At 40.1% G+C, this 17,440-nt stretch overlaps 1 annotated feature.

Moving 5' to 3' along the window:
* Positions 470 to 1,669: an enhancer, noted in NCBI's record as "MED14-independent group 3 enhancer chr4:188784615-188785814 (GRCh37/hg19 assembly coordinates)". NCBI's record gives its function as "activates an origin of replication core promoter dependent on BRD2, BRD4, P300/CBP and CDK7 cofactors, and independent of MED14, by STARR-seq in HCT116 cells {active_cell/tissue: HCT116}" and the evidence as "EXISTENCE:reporter gene assay evidence [ECO:0000049][PMID:35650434]".

Raw genomic sequence — 17,440 nt, 5'->3', positions numbered from 1 at the left:
GGAGGGTGGGGGTGAGGGGAGAGAGCTTAGAGGATGGGTCAGCAGGTGCAGCAAACCACCATGGCACACGCAACCTATGTAACAAACCTGCACGTTCTATACATGTATCCCGTTTTTTTTTAAGAAGGAATTAAAAAAAAAAAAAGAAAATAGGCTCTTTATTTTTCTAACTTTAACTATTGTTTTTCGTGGATTTATCCCCTCTATTTGGTTTAATATATTTATTCATTTTAAGAGCTCCCTATAAACTTGAGATAATTACCCTTTGTTATATTTTGCAATTTGTTCAGTTTGTTCTTGGTGGATTATTTTTTTCTTGTCTTAGAGAAATTTGAATTTTGTTTATTTTCCCATATGGAAATTCAATAGCCTCAGAACCATCGATTGAGAGGCCACTCTTTCCACACTAATTAGTAATACCACATCTGGTATATATCAGGTTTCTAAAAATAACTGTTTATGGGCTCTCTATTCGGTTACATTGTTTTATTTGTTCATCCTAACATCAATATCAAGTATTTAGGGATTTATTTTTTAGTAGTGCAAGTCACCCTACCTTGTTGTTCTTAAAAACTGTCTCAATTATTTTTGACCACTTCCTCTTTCAAATGAATTTGAAGATTCTCTGTTGAGATTTGATTATAACTGTGCTGAAATTATAATTATTTGGGGTGAATTGGCATCAACAATATCAATTCTTCCCTGCCATTAGTATTACTTTTTCTGAAGTATTCCGTTCTTAATTTAAAACATTTTTTAAAAAAGATCTCTGCATGTTATTGCCATTTGGTTAGTTTTTTAAAATAGATCTTGTAGTTTTGATAACATCTATGAATGTGATGTTTTCTTTATTCAACATTTTAGTTGATTTGCAGTGGTGTGCTGGCGCTGACACCAGTTTGCAAGGGCCAGTTACGTGCAACTATTGGCAGTTCTGCTTCAGTGACATTACACTGGTAGCTTCAAATGGGCTGTGGGAGGAGAAGTTGCACCTTGGAAATCAGCAATCACCGCATATCAGGTGTCTCTCTTTCCTTTCCTGTCTTCAAGTAACCAGCACGTAACTGCTTATAGGAAGTTAATGGAAAAAGTATGTTTTTATTTAGTATGGTAGAATAGTTTGATTCAAGCATGCTAATCTTGAATCTAATACATTTTAAAATCTCTTATCAGTTTCTAAGTGTTTATCTGTAGATTATCTTGGATTTTGTATACAGACATCATATAAACAGCAGAGAAGAGTTTTTACCTCTTTCCATCCACTTCTTGTACTTCATTTGTTTTTCCTGTTTTGTTGTTGTTGTCGTTAAGCTCTGGTACACTTGTGACTAGAAGAGATGAAAGAGGGCATGTTTGTCTTTCCCTGAAAATTCAGTGAAGCTGCTTCCAAAGTGTCATCATGAAGTGTGCTGTCCGTCGTGCGCCTATACCGGCTGCCCATTTTTGCCTCTGCCCTCCGTGTGACTGAAACCGCTGGGTCATGCTGAGTCCCCATTTTACGTGGCTAATCAGGTATATGGGGCCCACATACTCTTCATGAAGAGCTTTCTTGGACTTTAGAGCACTGTATTCTCTTGCTTTTCTTTCTGCGTCTCCAGCTGTTCTTACTCTCTTTGCTAGTTCTTCCTCATCTCCTTTACTTTGATGTGTTGGAGTTCCAGGAATGAGTTCCCGGGTTTCTTTCTTCTATGTATGCTCACTCTTGGCTTTGAATACTACCTATTTTTGATTATGTTAAATTTATATCTCTAGTTTGTTAAGTTTTTCAGAAGTTTAAATTTGTATGTCCAACTGCCTACTTTTCACTTCTACTTGAATGACAAATTGTGCATTTCAAACTGAATGCCTGGTATTTTCCATCCTTCCCCAACCAAACTCACTCTACTTCATCTTGACTAAAGGCAAATCCATTCTGTCAGTTACCCAGGCCAAAACCCTTTTACACGCCACATTAGCTTGTCAGTAAATCATGGCAGTTCTACTTTATATAAATATTTACAAAATTACTTTTTGCCGTCTTCACGACTGCCACCCTGGTCTAAGGCACCATCATTTTGGGCTAATGTTTTTTCATTAACCTCCTAATTGGCCTTCCTGGTATCACTCTTCTCCTCTTTCAGACGATTTCCTAAACAGCACTAGAACAATGTTTGTAACACAGGAGTTGAATTTTATCTTTTATCCCTCCTCTGTTCAAGACCTTACAAGGGGGGGAGGAGCCAAGATGGCCGAATAGGAACAGCTCTGGTCTACAGCTCCCAGCGTGAGTGACACAGAAGACGGGTGATTTCTGCATTTCCACCTGAGGTACCAGGTTCATCTCACTAGGGAGTGCCAGACACTGGGCGCAGGACAGTGGGTGCAGCACACCGTGCACCAGCCGAAGCAGGGCGAGGCATTGCCTCACTCGGGAAGCGCAAGGGATCAGGGAGTTCCCTTTCCTGGTCAAGGAAAGGAGTGACAGACGGCACCTGGAAAATCGGGTCACTCCCACCCGAATATTGCACTTTTCCAACGGGCTCAGGAAATGACGCACCAGGAGATTACATCCCGCAACTGGCTCGGAGGGTCCTATGCCTATGGAGTCTCGCTGATTGCTGGCACAGCAGTCTGAGATCAAACTGCAAGGCGGCAGTGAGGCTGGGGGAGGGACGCCTGCCATTGCCCAGGCTTGCTTAGGTAAACAAAGCAGCCAGGAAGCTCGAACTGGGTGGAGCCCACCACAGCTCAAAGAGGCCTGCCTGCCTCTGTAGGCTCCACCTCTGCGGGCAGGCCACAGACAAACAAAAAGACAGCAGTAACCTCTGCAGACTTAAATGTCCCCGTCTGACAGCTTTGAAGAGAGCAGTGGTTCTCCCAGCATGCAGCTGGAGATCTGAGAACGGGCAGACTGCCTCCTAAAGTGGGTCCCTGACCCCTGACCCCCGAGCAGCCTAACTGGAAGGCACCCCCCAGTAGGGGCAGACTGACACCTCACATGGCCGGGTACTCCTCTGAGACAAAACTTCCAGAGGAACGATCAGACAGCAGCATTTGCGGTTCATGAAAATCCGCTGTTCTGCAGACACCGCTGCTGATACCTAGGCAAACAGGGTCTGGAGTGAACCTCTAGCAAACTCCAACAGACCTGCAGCTGAGGGTCCTGTCTGTTAGAAGGAAAACTAACAAGCAGAAAGGACATCCACACCAAAAACCCATCTGTACATCACCATCATCAAGAACCAAAAGTAGATAAAACCACAAAGATGGGGAAAAAACAGAGCAGAAAAACTGGGAACTCTAAAAAGCAGAACACCTCTCCTACTCCAAAGGAACGCAGTTCCTCACCAGCAACGGAACAAAGCTGGATGGAGAATGACTTTGACAAGTTGAGAGAAGAAGGCTTCAGACGATCGAACTACTCTGAGCTACAGGAGGAAATTCAAACCAAAGGCAAAGAAGTTGAAAACTTTGAAAAAAATTTAGACAAATGTATAACTAGAATAACCAATACAGAGAAGTGCTTAAAGGAGCTGATGGAGCTGAAAGCCAAGGCTCGAGAACTACGTGAAGAATGCAGAAGCCTCAGGAGCCGATGCGATCAACTGGAAGAAAGGGTAACAGTGATGGAAGATGAAATGAATGAAATGAAGAGAGAAGGGAAGTTTAGAGAAAAAAGAATAAAAAGAAACGAACAAAGCCTCCAAGAAATATGGGACTATGTGAAAAGACCAAATCTACGTCTGATTGGTGTACCTGAAAGTGATGGGGAAAATGAAACCAAGTTGCAAAACACTCTGCAGGATATTATCCAGGAGAACTTCCCCAATCTAGCAAGGCAGGCCAACATTCAGATTCAGGAAATACAGAAAACGCCACAAAGATACTCTTCGAGAAGAGCAATTCCAAAACACATAATTGTCAGATTCACCAAAGTTGAAATGAGGAAAAAATGTTAAGGGCAGCCAGAGAGAAAGGTCACGTTACCCACAAAGGGAAGCCCATCAGACTAACAGCGGATCTCTTGGCAGAAACTCTACAAGCCCAAAGAGAGTGGGGGCCAATATTCAACATTCTTAAAGAAAAGAATTTTCAACCCAGAATTTCATATCCAGCCAAACTAAGCTTCATAAGTGAAGGAGAAATAAAATCCTTTACAGACAAGCAAATGCTGAGAGATTCTGTCACCACCGAGCATGCCCTAAAAGAGCTCCTGAAGGAAGCACTAAACATGGAAAGGAACAACCGGTACCAGCCGCCACAAAATCATGCCAAAATGTAAAGACCATCGAGACTAGGAAGAAACTGCATCAACTAACGAGCAAAATAACCAGCTAACATCATAACGACAGGATCAAATTCACACATAACAATATTAACTTTAAATGTAAATGGACTAAATGTCCCAATTAAAAGACACAGACTGGCGAATTGGATAAGGAGTCAAGACCCATCAGTGTGCTGTATTCAGGAAACCCATCTCTTGTGCAGAGACACATATAGGCTCAAAATAAAAGGATGGAGGACGATCTACCAAGCAAATGGAAAACAAAAAAAGGCAGGGGTTGCAATCCTAGTCTCTGATAAAACAGACTTTAAACCAACAGAGATCAAAAGAGACAAAGAAGGCCATTACATAATGGTAAAGGGATCAATTCAACAAGAAGAGCTAACTCTCCTAAATATATATGCACCCAATACAGGAGCACCCAGATTCATAAAGCAAGTCCTGAGTGACCTACAAAGAGACTTAGACTCCCACACAATAATAATGGGAGACTTTAACACCCCACTGTCAACATTAGGCAGATCAACGAGACAGAAAGTTAAGAAGGATACCTAGGAATTGAACTCAGCTCTGCACCAAGTGGACCTAATAAACATCTACAGAACTCTCCACCCCAAATCAACAGAATATACATTTTTTTCAGCACCACACCACACCTATTCCAAAATTGACCACATAGTTGAAAGTAAAGCTCTCCTCAGCAAATGTAAAAGAATGGAAATTATAACAAACTGTCTGTCAGACCACAGTGCAATCGAACTAGAACTCGGGATTAAGAAACTCACTCAAAACCGCTCAACTATATGGAAACTGAACAGCCTGCTCCTGAATGACTACTGGGTACATAACGAAATGAAGGCAGAAATAAAGATGTTCTTTGAAACCAACGAGAACAAAGACACAACATACCAGAATCTCTGGGACACATTCAAAGCAGTGTGTAGAGGGAAATTTATAGCACTAAATGCCCACAAGAGAAAGCAGGAAAGATCCAAAATTGACACCCTAACATCACAATTAAAAGAACTAGAAAAGCAAGAGCAAACACATTCAAAAGCTAGCAGAAGGCAAGAAATAACTAAAATCAGAGCAGAACTGAAGGAAATAGAGACACAAAAAACCCTTCAAAAAATTAATGAATCCAGGAGCTAGTTTTTTTAAAGGATCAACAAAACTGATAGATCGCTAGCAAGACTAATAAAGAGAAAAGAGAGAAGAATCAAATAGATGCAATAAAAAATGATAAAGGGGATATCACCACCGATCCCACAGAAATACAAACTACCATCAGAGATTACTACAAACACCTCTACGGAGATAAACTAGAAAATCTAGAAATTGATAAATTCCTCGACACATACACTCTCCCAAGACTAAACCAGGAAGAAGTTGAATCTCTGAATAGACCAATAACAGGAGCTGAAATTGTGGCAATAATCAATAGCTTACCAACCAAAAAGAGTCCAGGACCAGATGGATTCACAGCCAAATTCTACCAGAGGTACAAGGAGGAACTGGTACCATTCCTTCTGAAACTATTCCAATCAATAGAAAAAGAGGGAATCCTCTCTAACTCATTTTATGAGGCCAGCATCATCCTGGTACCAAAGCCGGGCAGAGACACAACCAACAAAGAGAATTTTAGACCAATATCCTTGATGAACATTGATGCAAAAATCCTCAATAAAATACTGGCAAACCGAATCCAGCAGCACATCAAAAAGCTTATCCACCATGATCAAGTGGGCTTCATCCCTGGGATGCAAGGCTGGTTCAATATACGCAAATCAATAAATGTAATCCAGCATATAAACAGAACCAAAGACAAAAACCACATGATTATCTCAATAGATGCAGAAAAGACCTTTGACAAAATTCAACAACCCTTCATGCTAAAAACTCTCAATAAATTAGGTATTGATGGGACATATCTCAAAATAATAAGAGCTATCTATGACAAACCCACAGCCAATATCATACTGAATGGGCAAAAACTGGAAGCATTCCCTTTGAAAACTGGCACAACACAGGGATGTCCTCTCTCACCACTCCTATTCAACATAGTGTTGGAAGTTCTGGCCAGGGCAATTAGGCAGGAGAAGGAAATAAAGGGTATTCAATTAGGAAAAGAGGAAGTCAAATTGTCCCTGTTTGCAGACAACATGATTGTATATCTAGAAAACCCCACTGTCTGAGCCCAAAATCTCCTTAAGCTGATAAGCAACTTCAGCAAAGTCTCAGGATACAAAATCAATGTACAAAAATCACAAGCATTCTTATACGCCAATAACAGACAAACAGAGAGCCAAATCATGAGTGAACTCCCATTCACAATTGCTTCAAAGAGAATAAAATACTTAGGAATCCAACTTACAAGGGACGTGAAGGACCTCTTCAAGGAGAAATACAAACCACTGCTCAATAAAATAGAAGAGGATACAAACAAATGGAAGAACATTCCATGCTCATGGGTAGGAAGAATCAATATCGTGAAAATGGCCATACTGCCCAAGGTAATTTATAGATTCAATGCCATCCCCATCAAGCCACCAACGACTTTCTTCACAGAATTGGAAAAAACTACTTTAAAGTTCATATGGAACCAAAAAAGAGCCCGCATCACCAAGTCAATCCAAAGCTGGAGGCATCACACTACCTGACTTCAAACTATACTACAAGTCTACAGTAACCAAAACAGCATGGTAGTGGTACCAAAACAGAGATATAGATCAATGGAACAGAACAGAGCCATCAGAAATAACACCGCATATCTACAACTATCTGATCTTTGACAAACCTGAGAAAAACAAGCAATGGGGAAAGAATTCCCTATTTAATAAATGGTGCTGGGAAAACTGGCTAGCCATATGTAGAAAGCTGAAACTGGATCCCTTCCTTACACCTTATACAAAAATTAATTCAAGATGGATTAAAGACTTAAACGTTAGACCTAAAACTATAAAAACCCTAGAAGAAAACATAGGCATTACCATTCAGGACATAGGCATGGGCAAGGACTTCATGTCTAAAACACCAAAAGAAATGGCAACAAAAGCCAAAATTGACAAATGGGATCTAATTAAAGTAAAGAGCTTCTGCACAGCAAAAGAAACTACCATCAGAGTGAATGGGCAACCTACAAAATGGGAGAAAATTTTCACAACCTAGTCATCTGACAAAGGCTAATATCCAGAATCTACAATGAACTTAAACAAATTTACAAGAAAAAAACAAACAACCCCATCAAAAAGTGGGCAAAGGACATGAACAGACACTTCTCAAAAGAAGACATTTATGCAGCCAAAAGACACATGAAAAAATGCTCATCATCACTGGCTATCAGAGACATGCAAATCAAAACCACAATGAGATGCCATCTCACACCAGTTAGAATGGCAATCATTAAAAAGTCAGGAAACAACAGGTGCTGGAGAGGATGTGGAGAAATAGGAACACTTTTACACTGTTGGTGGGACTGTAAACTAGTTCAACCATTGTGGAAGACAGTGTGGCGATTCCTCAGGGATCTAGAACTAGAAATACCATTTGACCCAGCCATCCCATTACTGGGTATATACCCAAAGGACTATAAATCATGCTGCTATAAAGACACATGCACACGTATGTTCATTGCAGCACTATTCACAATAGCAAAGACTTGGAACCAACCCAAATGTCCAACAATGATAGACTGGATTAAGAAATGTGGCACATATACACCATGGAATACTATGCAGCCATAAAAAATGATAAGTTCATGTCCTTTGAGGGACATGGATGAAATTGGAAATCATCATTCTCAGTAAACTATCGCAAGGACAAAAAACCAAACACCGCATGTTCTCACTCATAGATGGGAATTGAACAATGAGAACACATGGACACAGGAAGGGGAACATCACACTCTGGGGACTGTTGTGGGGTGGGGGGAGGGGTGAGGGATAGCATTAGGAGATATACCTAATGGTAAATGACGAGTTAATGGGTGCAGCACACCAGCATGGCACATGTATACATATGTAACTAACTGGCACATTGTGCACATGTACCCTAAAACTTAAAGTATAATAATAATAATTTTTTAAAAAAAGACCTTACAAAGGGTCCCCAGTGTGCCCTCAGCCCTCATTGCAATCTGTGGGGCCTGGCATGGTCTACAGCCATCCTTGCTTCTCTGACCTCATCTCCTGGGACTCTCCTCTGGCTCCCTTGACTCCAGCACTGGTCTTCTCTCACCTGACAGGCCCACGCCCCTGCCTCTAAACTTCACACTCGCTACTTTTTTCTGACTGTAGTGCTCTTATCCCAGACACATACAAGGCCCTGCTCCTTACTTCCTCCGATGTTACTCCAATGACACTTTTTAATTGACTCCTATCCTACCCTCCCAATCCAGAAATGCATCTCACTGAAAGTGACCCAATAGTCCCACAGATAGTTTATTTTATTTTTTGATAAACATAGAAGTTGACCCTCTGGTCTTAAAGCTTGAAACTTATATTTATTTTATCTGAGTTCCTCCGGAAACAACCTTCATGCCTCTCAAGAAAAGGATCAAGGAACTGGAACTCACCAGATCATCACATCCAGATAATGGGATGCCACCTCTCATTCATTATGATTGTTTTTTTGCTCCTCCGGAGTTCCTGTCTTCTTACACGTTGTTACATTTCTTTCCTGATATATAAACCCTTAGTTTTGGTCAGTCAGGGAGATGGATTTTGAGACTGAGCTCCCATCTTCTCAGCTGCAGCACCCAATTAAAGCCTTCTTCCTTGGCAACACTCATCATCTCAGTGATTGGCTTTCTGTGCGGTGAGCAGCAGAGCCTAGACCGAGCACCTGGTGTTTCAGTAACAATACCTCCTCTACCATGATGTGTACGTCCTCTCCTCCCTGCATTATTTTTCTCCTTGGAGATGATCATTGTCTAACTTTATTTTTTTTTACTAATTTGTGATTATTTACCCTCAACTTCCTCATTAGAATACAAGTGCAACAGGGTAGAATTTGTTGTTACTGTTTTGTTTGAAGCTTTTTTTGTTGTTTATTTTGATATCTCCAGAGTCTGGAAAAGCGCTTAATACATGACAGGTCTGTACTAAATATTTGTTGAATAAATGAATCAATGATATTGAGTGTATTAGTTTCCCTTTGCTGCTGTAACAACTTACAAAAAACAGTGACTTAAAAACAGCACACAGTTATTTTCTTATAGTCATGGAGGCCAGATTGCAAAATCAGCTTTACTAAGGTAAAGTCAAGGTGTCTGTTGGGCTGGTTTTTTCTGGAAGCTCTGAGGAAAGTATCTGTTTGGTTGCCTTTTTCAGCTTCTAGTGCCTGCCTGAATCCCTTGGCAGCCAAGGAATTCCATCCTCAAAGCACGTCACTCCAAACGCTGCCACCATCACGTCTCTTTCTGATCTTTGACTCCTCATGCCACCCTCTTCTAAGGATCCTTGTAATCACACTGGGCCCCATAGCTAATCCAGGATACTCTTCCTTTCTTGAGATTCTTAATCACATTTGCAAGGTCCCTTTTGCCCTACAAGTTGACATTCACAGGTTCCAGGGATTAGGATGTGGACATAAGGGGATCGTTATCGAGCCAACCACAGTGGGGAAACTCCTTTATAGTTCAGATGTGCTAATTTTAAAAAAATTATAAATGACCACTGATTTTATTGAACACTTCTGTATCTATTGAGATAAAATTTATATATTTGTTCTGCAATGTCTTAAAAAGCTTTATTAGAAAAAACAAAGCTTACTATTTTAACTGTTTCTAAATATATAGTTCAGTAGTGTTAAGTATGTTCACCTTGTTGTACAACCAATCTTCAGAACTGTTTCATCTTCCAAAATTGAAACTCTATGTCCTTAAAAGAAGAACTGCCCATTTCCCCTCCCCTTACACCCGGCAACCACCAGTGTAATTTCTTATGTGGTAAACGACATTAGAGGATTCTTCTCTTGAACCAGATTTTCATTTATAGGGATAAAATGCTACTTAAGTATTATCATTTTTAATATACTATTGAATTCAATTTGAAAATATTTTAATTAGGATTTTTTTCTTTTTATTATACTTTAAGTTTTAGGGTACATGTGCACAATGTGCAGGTTAGTTACATATGTATACATGTGCCATGTTGGTGTGCTGCACCCATTAACTCATCATTTAACATTAGGTATATCTCCTAATGCTATTCCCCCGATTTTTTTCATTTATATTCTAGTAGGTCATATGGTCTTTTCGTTTACTGTCCTTGTCAGTGTTATTCTATCCTTACAAAGCAAGATTTATCCTCACTCAATGAGATAGGTAATTTTTTCATCTTCTTTGAAAAAGTTTATATAAAATAGAAATTATTTACATCTTGATGAGATAAAATGTCTTTATTATTATGTTATCCAGATTCTTTGTTTCTTCTTGTCAAATTTTTGCCATTTTTATTAAAGTATCCATTTAATCTAATTTTAAAATATTGTCATAAAGTTTTTAACGTATCCCGTTATACGTTTTGAAATCTTAAAGTATCTCTGCTCTTAAAATTTCTAATGTTGTATTTTTTCTTATTTTGTTTTTCTCAGTCTTCTTAGAATGTTGCCTATTTTATTAATTTTCCTTCAATAATCAGTTTTGATTTTGTTAATCTCTATTTTTTCTTCTTTTTAGTAATTTCTGCTCTTAAAATTTTAGAATTAAGTTTATTTTCTACTTTTTAAAGTTTATGTTGGCCAGGCATAGTGGCTCACACTCGTAATAATCCCAGCACTTTGGAAGGCTAAGGTGGGTGGATTGCTTGAGTCCAAGAGCTCAAGACCAGCCTGGGCAACACAGCAAAACTGCATCTCTACAAAACTAAAAAAATTTAACTGGGCATGGTGGTGTGCGCCTGTAGTCCTAGCTACTCAGGAGGTTGAGGTGGGAGAAGCCTGGGGAGGTTGAGGCTGCAGGGAACCAAACTTACGCCACTGCACTCCAACCTGGGCAATCAGAGTGAGACCCTGTCTCCAAAAAAAAAAAAAAACCACAAAACTTAAGTTTATGCTGTTGTTCTTTTTCTAGTGCCTTTAGCTGAATGGTTTTCTTCATTTTAAAAACTATTTAAATACATTTATTTAAGGCTACATATAATGTTTTTGAGATATTTATTTAAGGCTACAAATTAACCTCTAAATACCACCTTATCTGCCGTGTACAGGTTTTGATATATGGTATATTTCCATTTTTTTCTATTGTTTTAAATGTATATCATAATTTCTTTCTTGAGCAGGAATTAGTATTACTTATGAGTGTATTTTTAATCATAAGACTTTTCTTATGCCTTAAAAAACCTTATTTTTACTTTTAATTTTATTGTGGTCAGAAGTTATGATGTCTTTTTTTTTTTAATTTCTGTGACAACAAGCATACTAAATTTTTAAGATAACGGAGTTGTGCTAACAGAACTTCCAAGGCTGGCTGCAGAATTCTGTGAAAGTTCAATCCTCAAAGCAATTCCCAGTTCCCCACAATTCCACCAATAGGAAGAGGGCTGCGCAATCTCTACAGCCCCTAGGAAGACCTTACTCTCCAATGTGCATTCCAAAATTGCCATGTGGTAAAATGGACAAGAAAATCTACTGAAAGAAAGAATCAGGGCTCTCAGAGCAGCTAAGAGGAGCTTACTCCATTTCCAGAATATATGGTCCTCACTATTCCTGCTGAGCAGTATCTGATATGTGCTGTAAACAAGTGGTTACTATTTCCTGTTCTCCCCTCTGCCAAATACAAGGCTTTATTAGGGTTAACTTGTTCCTTCTCCATTTCTATGTCTTAGGTATGTAGTGGACAGATGGCTTATGCTTTACTATAGGAGACATTTGTGAGGAGCAACATTTGGACTTGACAGAGAGTCCAGGTGGTCACCTGAGATCATGGCGTTGGAGCTGAAGGAAGCTGTGGGCCTCATTTGTGCAGTGAGGGCTGATGTGTTGTGTATGTGTGGAAGGAGGGTGAGTGTGAATGCCAAGCGGCCAAAGGGGTGGCATCTGGTAGATATTGCTGCAGCTATTCAACGGCATCCACACCCACTTTCTTGCTTGCTAACCCAACCTTATTGTATTCATTTGACAGGAGAGATCCCCTTATGTCAGGGGAGAAAGGCCCGGTCATTGGCTAGGGAAGAACATGTGATCAATTTGGCCTATGAGGTGGAAGCAGAAACCTGTGCCGAGGATTCTGGGAAACATTTTTCGTTTTTGTTGTTGTTTTGTTTGTTTTTTTAAGAGAGTCTCGCTCCGTTGCCAGGCTGGCGTGCAGTGGCACGATCTCAGCTCACTGCAACCTCCGCCTCCGGGAAACTTTTTCTACCTGAAATGTGGGAAATGTATGAGAAGAAGGTTTTGTTCCCTCCCACCCGTTTCCTGCTTTCAAGCACCATGGTGTTGTAAGGAGACACCTAGAGCTACAGCAGCTCTCATGCGACTGTGAAGGGAGGCCACAGACCCAGAGAGATGTGGACTCGGCTCCTGACATCACTGACCACTTTACTAACCTGGAACCACCTACCTTCAGATTATTTTTATGTGGACAAAAATATCTATTTAAGCACTGTTTTGAGGTATTATGTAATTAACAGCTGAAAATATTCCAACACACCATTCCAGTTGGTGAGGAAGGTGGTGAGGGAGACCGCAGTTATTACCAGGCTTGAAATGGCTGGACCCGGAGCCCAAACAAAAATAGTGTTTTCCAAACCTACAGGCTGCTAAAGGCAGCCTATTGTTGGAGGATGTAAATATGTTCATACAGTACACTGCATATAAGGGGAATCTGACTTCCACTACTTCTAGGCCCTTGGGGAATCCTTGCCAGTTACCATGACATTTCATGTAAAAAGCAGCAATGCTTGAACTTGCAGGTAGCTTTGTGTCTGGGAGTTACAGTCCTTCTTGTAGAGCATCACAAAATATTAAAACTTTAGAATAACGAATCTCAAGTTTTGTGCTAAATTAAATGCCAATATACCGTATTTCTGTATAAACATGAAAATATAAGAAAATTCAAAGAAAAATGAGTTAGAAATATACATTCGGAAACAAAAATGTTTTTCATTAAATGTGATCCTTTCCCTCTCCCTACAAATGGGGAAACACCACTGTAATGGTTAATTTTGTGTGTTGACTTGGCGAGGACTAGAATGCCCAGCTGTTTGGCCAAACACCAGTCAAGGTATTATTATTTATTCATTTAAAATCTTTATATCATTCCTTCAATATTTCTTTTTAATAATTTCAACTTTTATTTTAGATTCAGGGGTACATGAGCAGGTTTGTTACGTGGGTACATTGCTTGATGTTGAGGTTTGGGCCATGAATTATCCTGTCACCCGGAGAGTGAGCATAGTACCCAACAGTTAGTTTTTCAACCCTTGCCCCTGTCTAGTCGTTCCCAGTGTGTGTTGTTGCCACGAAGTAAAGGTATATTTTAGGTGTGATTAATTCTTATAATCAGTAGACTTTAAGTAAAGCAGATTACCCTCCATCATACAGGTGTGCCTCTTTCAATTAGTTGAAAGCCTTAAGAGCAAAGATTGCAAACAAAGCCTGTTTCTCAAAGAAGAAAGAATTCTCCTCAAGACTTCCACACAGAAACCCAGTTGAGTTTCCAAACTACTGCCCTGCAGAATTTATATGCAAGACTGCAACTTTAACTCTGTCCTGAGTCTCCAGCCTGCTGGCCTGCCCTAGAGATTTTGGACTTGTCAGCCCCCACAATCATGTAAGCCAATTCCTTAAAATCAATCAAGCAATCTCTCAGAGTTTTAAGAAAGAATTGATGTCACAGCTTTCAGTCCAAATTCTGCAGGGCAATAGACTAACTGAGTCTACTGAGCAGCTTTGCCATGTTGCAGTCTTGAGGAAACTTCCTTCTTTTTTGAGAAATCTCTCTTTGCTCTTAGGCCTGCCACTGATTGAATGAGGCCCACCCATTGCTCTCCACTGCTTTACTTAGAGTCAACTGATTGTAAACACACACACACACACATGCATACACCCTATTCATTCTCATTCTCTGGAGAACAGTAACTAATACAACCTTTTATTCCACAATTTTATTTGCAAAACAACTAAATCCAATTTAATGGAAGCTACAGATTACAGATTTTTAGTGCCTAAAGAAATGTATAGCTGTGTGAAAGGGAAAGCGCTGTTCATGTAATTTAAGATATAATTGGCCACACTTCTCCTCTGACACAGTGTTACCTCAGGTAATTATTATACTAAAATCATTATATCAAATGCATATTACATGTTGACAAAACTTTCAACTGACTTTAATGAGGGAAATGGATGAAAGCTAAATAAAATGATCTGAAAGATTATTAAAACAACAACAACAGCAGAAAGCTTTCTAAAGAAGGAAGTATAGGAGAGAGAGAGAGTGTGTGTGTGGTGTGTGTGTGTGCTCAATTATAAATAAAAAAAGACATGAAAGTGAAGAAACATGGTGAAAGCCACAGCGCTGGAGTTGGAGTCATTCTAACAGACAGATCCAGAACCAAGAAAGAACGGAGGTGGGAACCTTCAAACAGCCTGGAGAAACAGCTAAGATGAAAGAGGAGAGACCCAAGAAAGCAAACCTGAGCAGAGAGGAGGAAGCAAGGAGATTAGAGGGCACAGAGATCAGAGGGGAGGGCCTCCAAGAGGATCACGATTTGGTGCACTAAGGTGAGAGAATATAAGATGTTACATGCAATAGACATTGTCTGTGCCTTAAGACGTGAGAAAAACATTAGAAGAGCTGAGAGACAGCGGGGAGTCTTGTCTGTTTTCGCCCGAGTCCCCTGGGAGTGCCAGCCTTCTGTTTCTGCTCCAAGGGTATTTTCATATATTTACACTCAGTGCACCATCTGTTATTTTCCTGCCTGGCTCATTATAAAATCCCACTACATGCTAGAGCAACTGAAATTTCTGTACCTTTCCCAGGAAAGACTCTTCCTGGGAATGAAAATTGTGGATGTCCTGGAAGTTAGCAGTGCGGGCCATGGTTCTCTCTGGCCCACTCTTTCTGACCCTGGGTCACGCCGCGTGGCTGCGACCCCACATCTCCAGCTGCTGGCCGCTGGCATGGGGCCGCTGGCTTCTGCCTGGCCTGATTAAGGAGGGGCAGTTTGGGAGTGATTTATAAACCAATGGTACAGGGAAAACTAGAGGAGTGTGAGAAGGGAAAAGCGGATGTGGACATAGCATAAACATCTAATTATATCAAAACAGCTGGAATATGCAGTGAAGATTCCCACCTCACTATACTATGTAACTGTAGGGAAATTAAACCTGAACTTTGCTTTCTAAATAAATGCTTAAAGAGTCTCCGAACCAATTATCCAGTCAGTTCAAAGGCAAATGTTTACATTCAAATGATAAACTCACATAGAAGGAAGAGAGAGGGAGGGAGGAAAGGGATTAATACACTGATGTTGACAAATCTCCAAATTAGAGTGTAAGTGAAGCTTCTCTACAGATCTCCTTTACATTAAGAGTCTTATGTTTGTTAGGGCTGTAAAAAGGAAGCACACAAGTCATAATAAACTAAGGGCTTGTAACCTGAAGGCATTTGTTACAATTCAAAGGACCTGAAGCAGTGAATTCAAGAACCTGCCATACAGTCAGAATATATGGCACGTGGGGCAGCAGCCCTGGAGCCTCCTTTTGGTTCTCGTCTGTCAGCATGGTGCTCCATTGTCAAAGGTTTCCATCGAATGGCAACATGGTGCTTTCTGATGAGGATGGAGGCAGCATGGCGCTCCAAATCTTTAGTCAAAAATACTTAGTTCTACTTATAAGAGGGAGTAAGCTAAGGGGATGCAGGCACACAGAGTGGTATAAAGGACGCTGGAGGCTCAGAGAGGGGCAGGGGTCAGGGATGAAACATTACCTATTGGGTACAATGTACATTTTTCAGGTGATAGGCACACTAAAAGCCCAGACTTTGGCCGGGTGCGGTGGCTCACGCCTGTAATCCCAGCACTTTGGGAGGTTGAGGTGGGCGGATCACGAGGTCAAGAGATGGAGACCAACCTGGCCAACGTGGTGAAACCCCGTCTCTACTAAAAACACAAAAATTAGGTGGGCATGGGCACGCCTGTACTCCCAGCTACTCGGGAGGCTGAGACAGAAGAATCGCTTAAACCCAGGAGGCGGAGGTTGCAGTGAGCCGAGATTGCGCCATTGCACTCCAGCCTGGCGACAGAGGGAGAATCTGTCTGAAAAACAACAACAACAAAAAACAAAGCCCAGACTTCGCCACTACACAATTCATCCATTTAACCAAAACCCACTTGTACCCCCTAAATCTACTGAAATAAATAAACAAAATGAAAAGGAAAACAAGCGTTGGCAAGGATGGGGAGAAACCGAAATTCTCATACATTGATGGTAGGAGTGTAATGTGGTGCAGCAGTTTTTCAAAACAGGAAACAATCTTTTTTTTTGTTTTTTGAAACAGGTATTCAAACATATACTTATATTCCAAAATTCATCACAGCATTATTCATAATAGCGAAAAGGTGTAAACAACCTAGTGGCCATCAAAAGATGACTCTATAAACACAATGTATATGCTTACTACGGATTATTATTCAGCCATAAAAAAGAATAAAGTTCTGACATGTGCTACAACATGGATGAACCCTGAAATCATTATGCTGAGTGCAATGAGTGAGACACAAAAGGACAAATACTTTATTATTTATATGAAATAACTAGTATAGGCAAATTCATAGTGATAAAAAGTAGATTAGAAGTTACCAGTATTGGCAGAGGGGAGAATGGAGAGTTATTGCTTAATAGTTACTGAGTTTGTATTTGGCATGATGAAAAGGTTTTGGAAATAGATAGTAGTGATAGTTGTACAACATTATGAATATAATTAATGCCACTGAATTATACACTTAAAGTCATTTTAAAAGGTAAATTTAATGATATATATATATATATATATATATAATATATGCAGAATAAAAACAAGCACCACCAACAAAAATATTTAGTCCTGATCCAGAGGAATTGCTGTTAAAATCTGCCTCAATTGCTCAATTCATATCACCTCACTTCACTCCTGGGAAGATAACTAAGAAGGGAATATGATAGCTCCTTAGATATCACTAAGGAGAATACATTATC

This window comes from Homo sapiens, chromosome 4 (assembly GCF_000001405.40).
Source record: "Homo sapiens chromosome 4, GRCh38.p14 Primary Assembly".
NCBI classification, from domain to species: Eukaryota; Metazoa; Chordata; class Mammalia; order Primates; family Hominidae; genus Homo; species Homo sapiens.
Note: the sequence above shows the minus strand (reverse complement) of the source record. Positions and strands in the feature narration are given on the sequence as shown.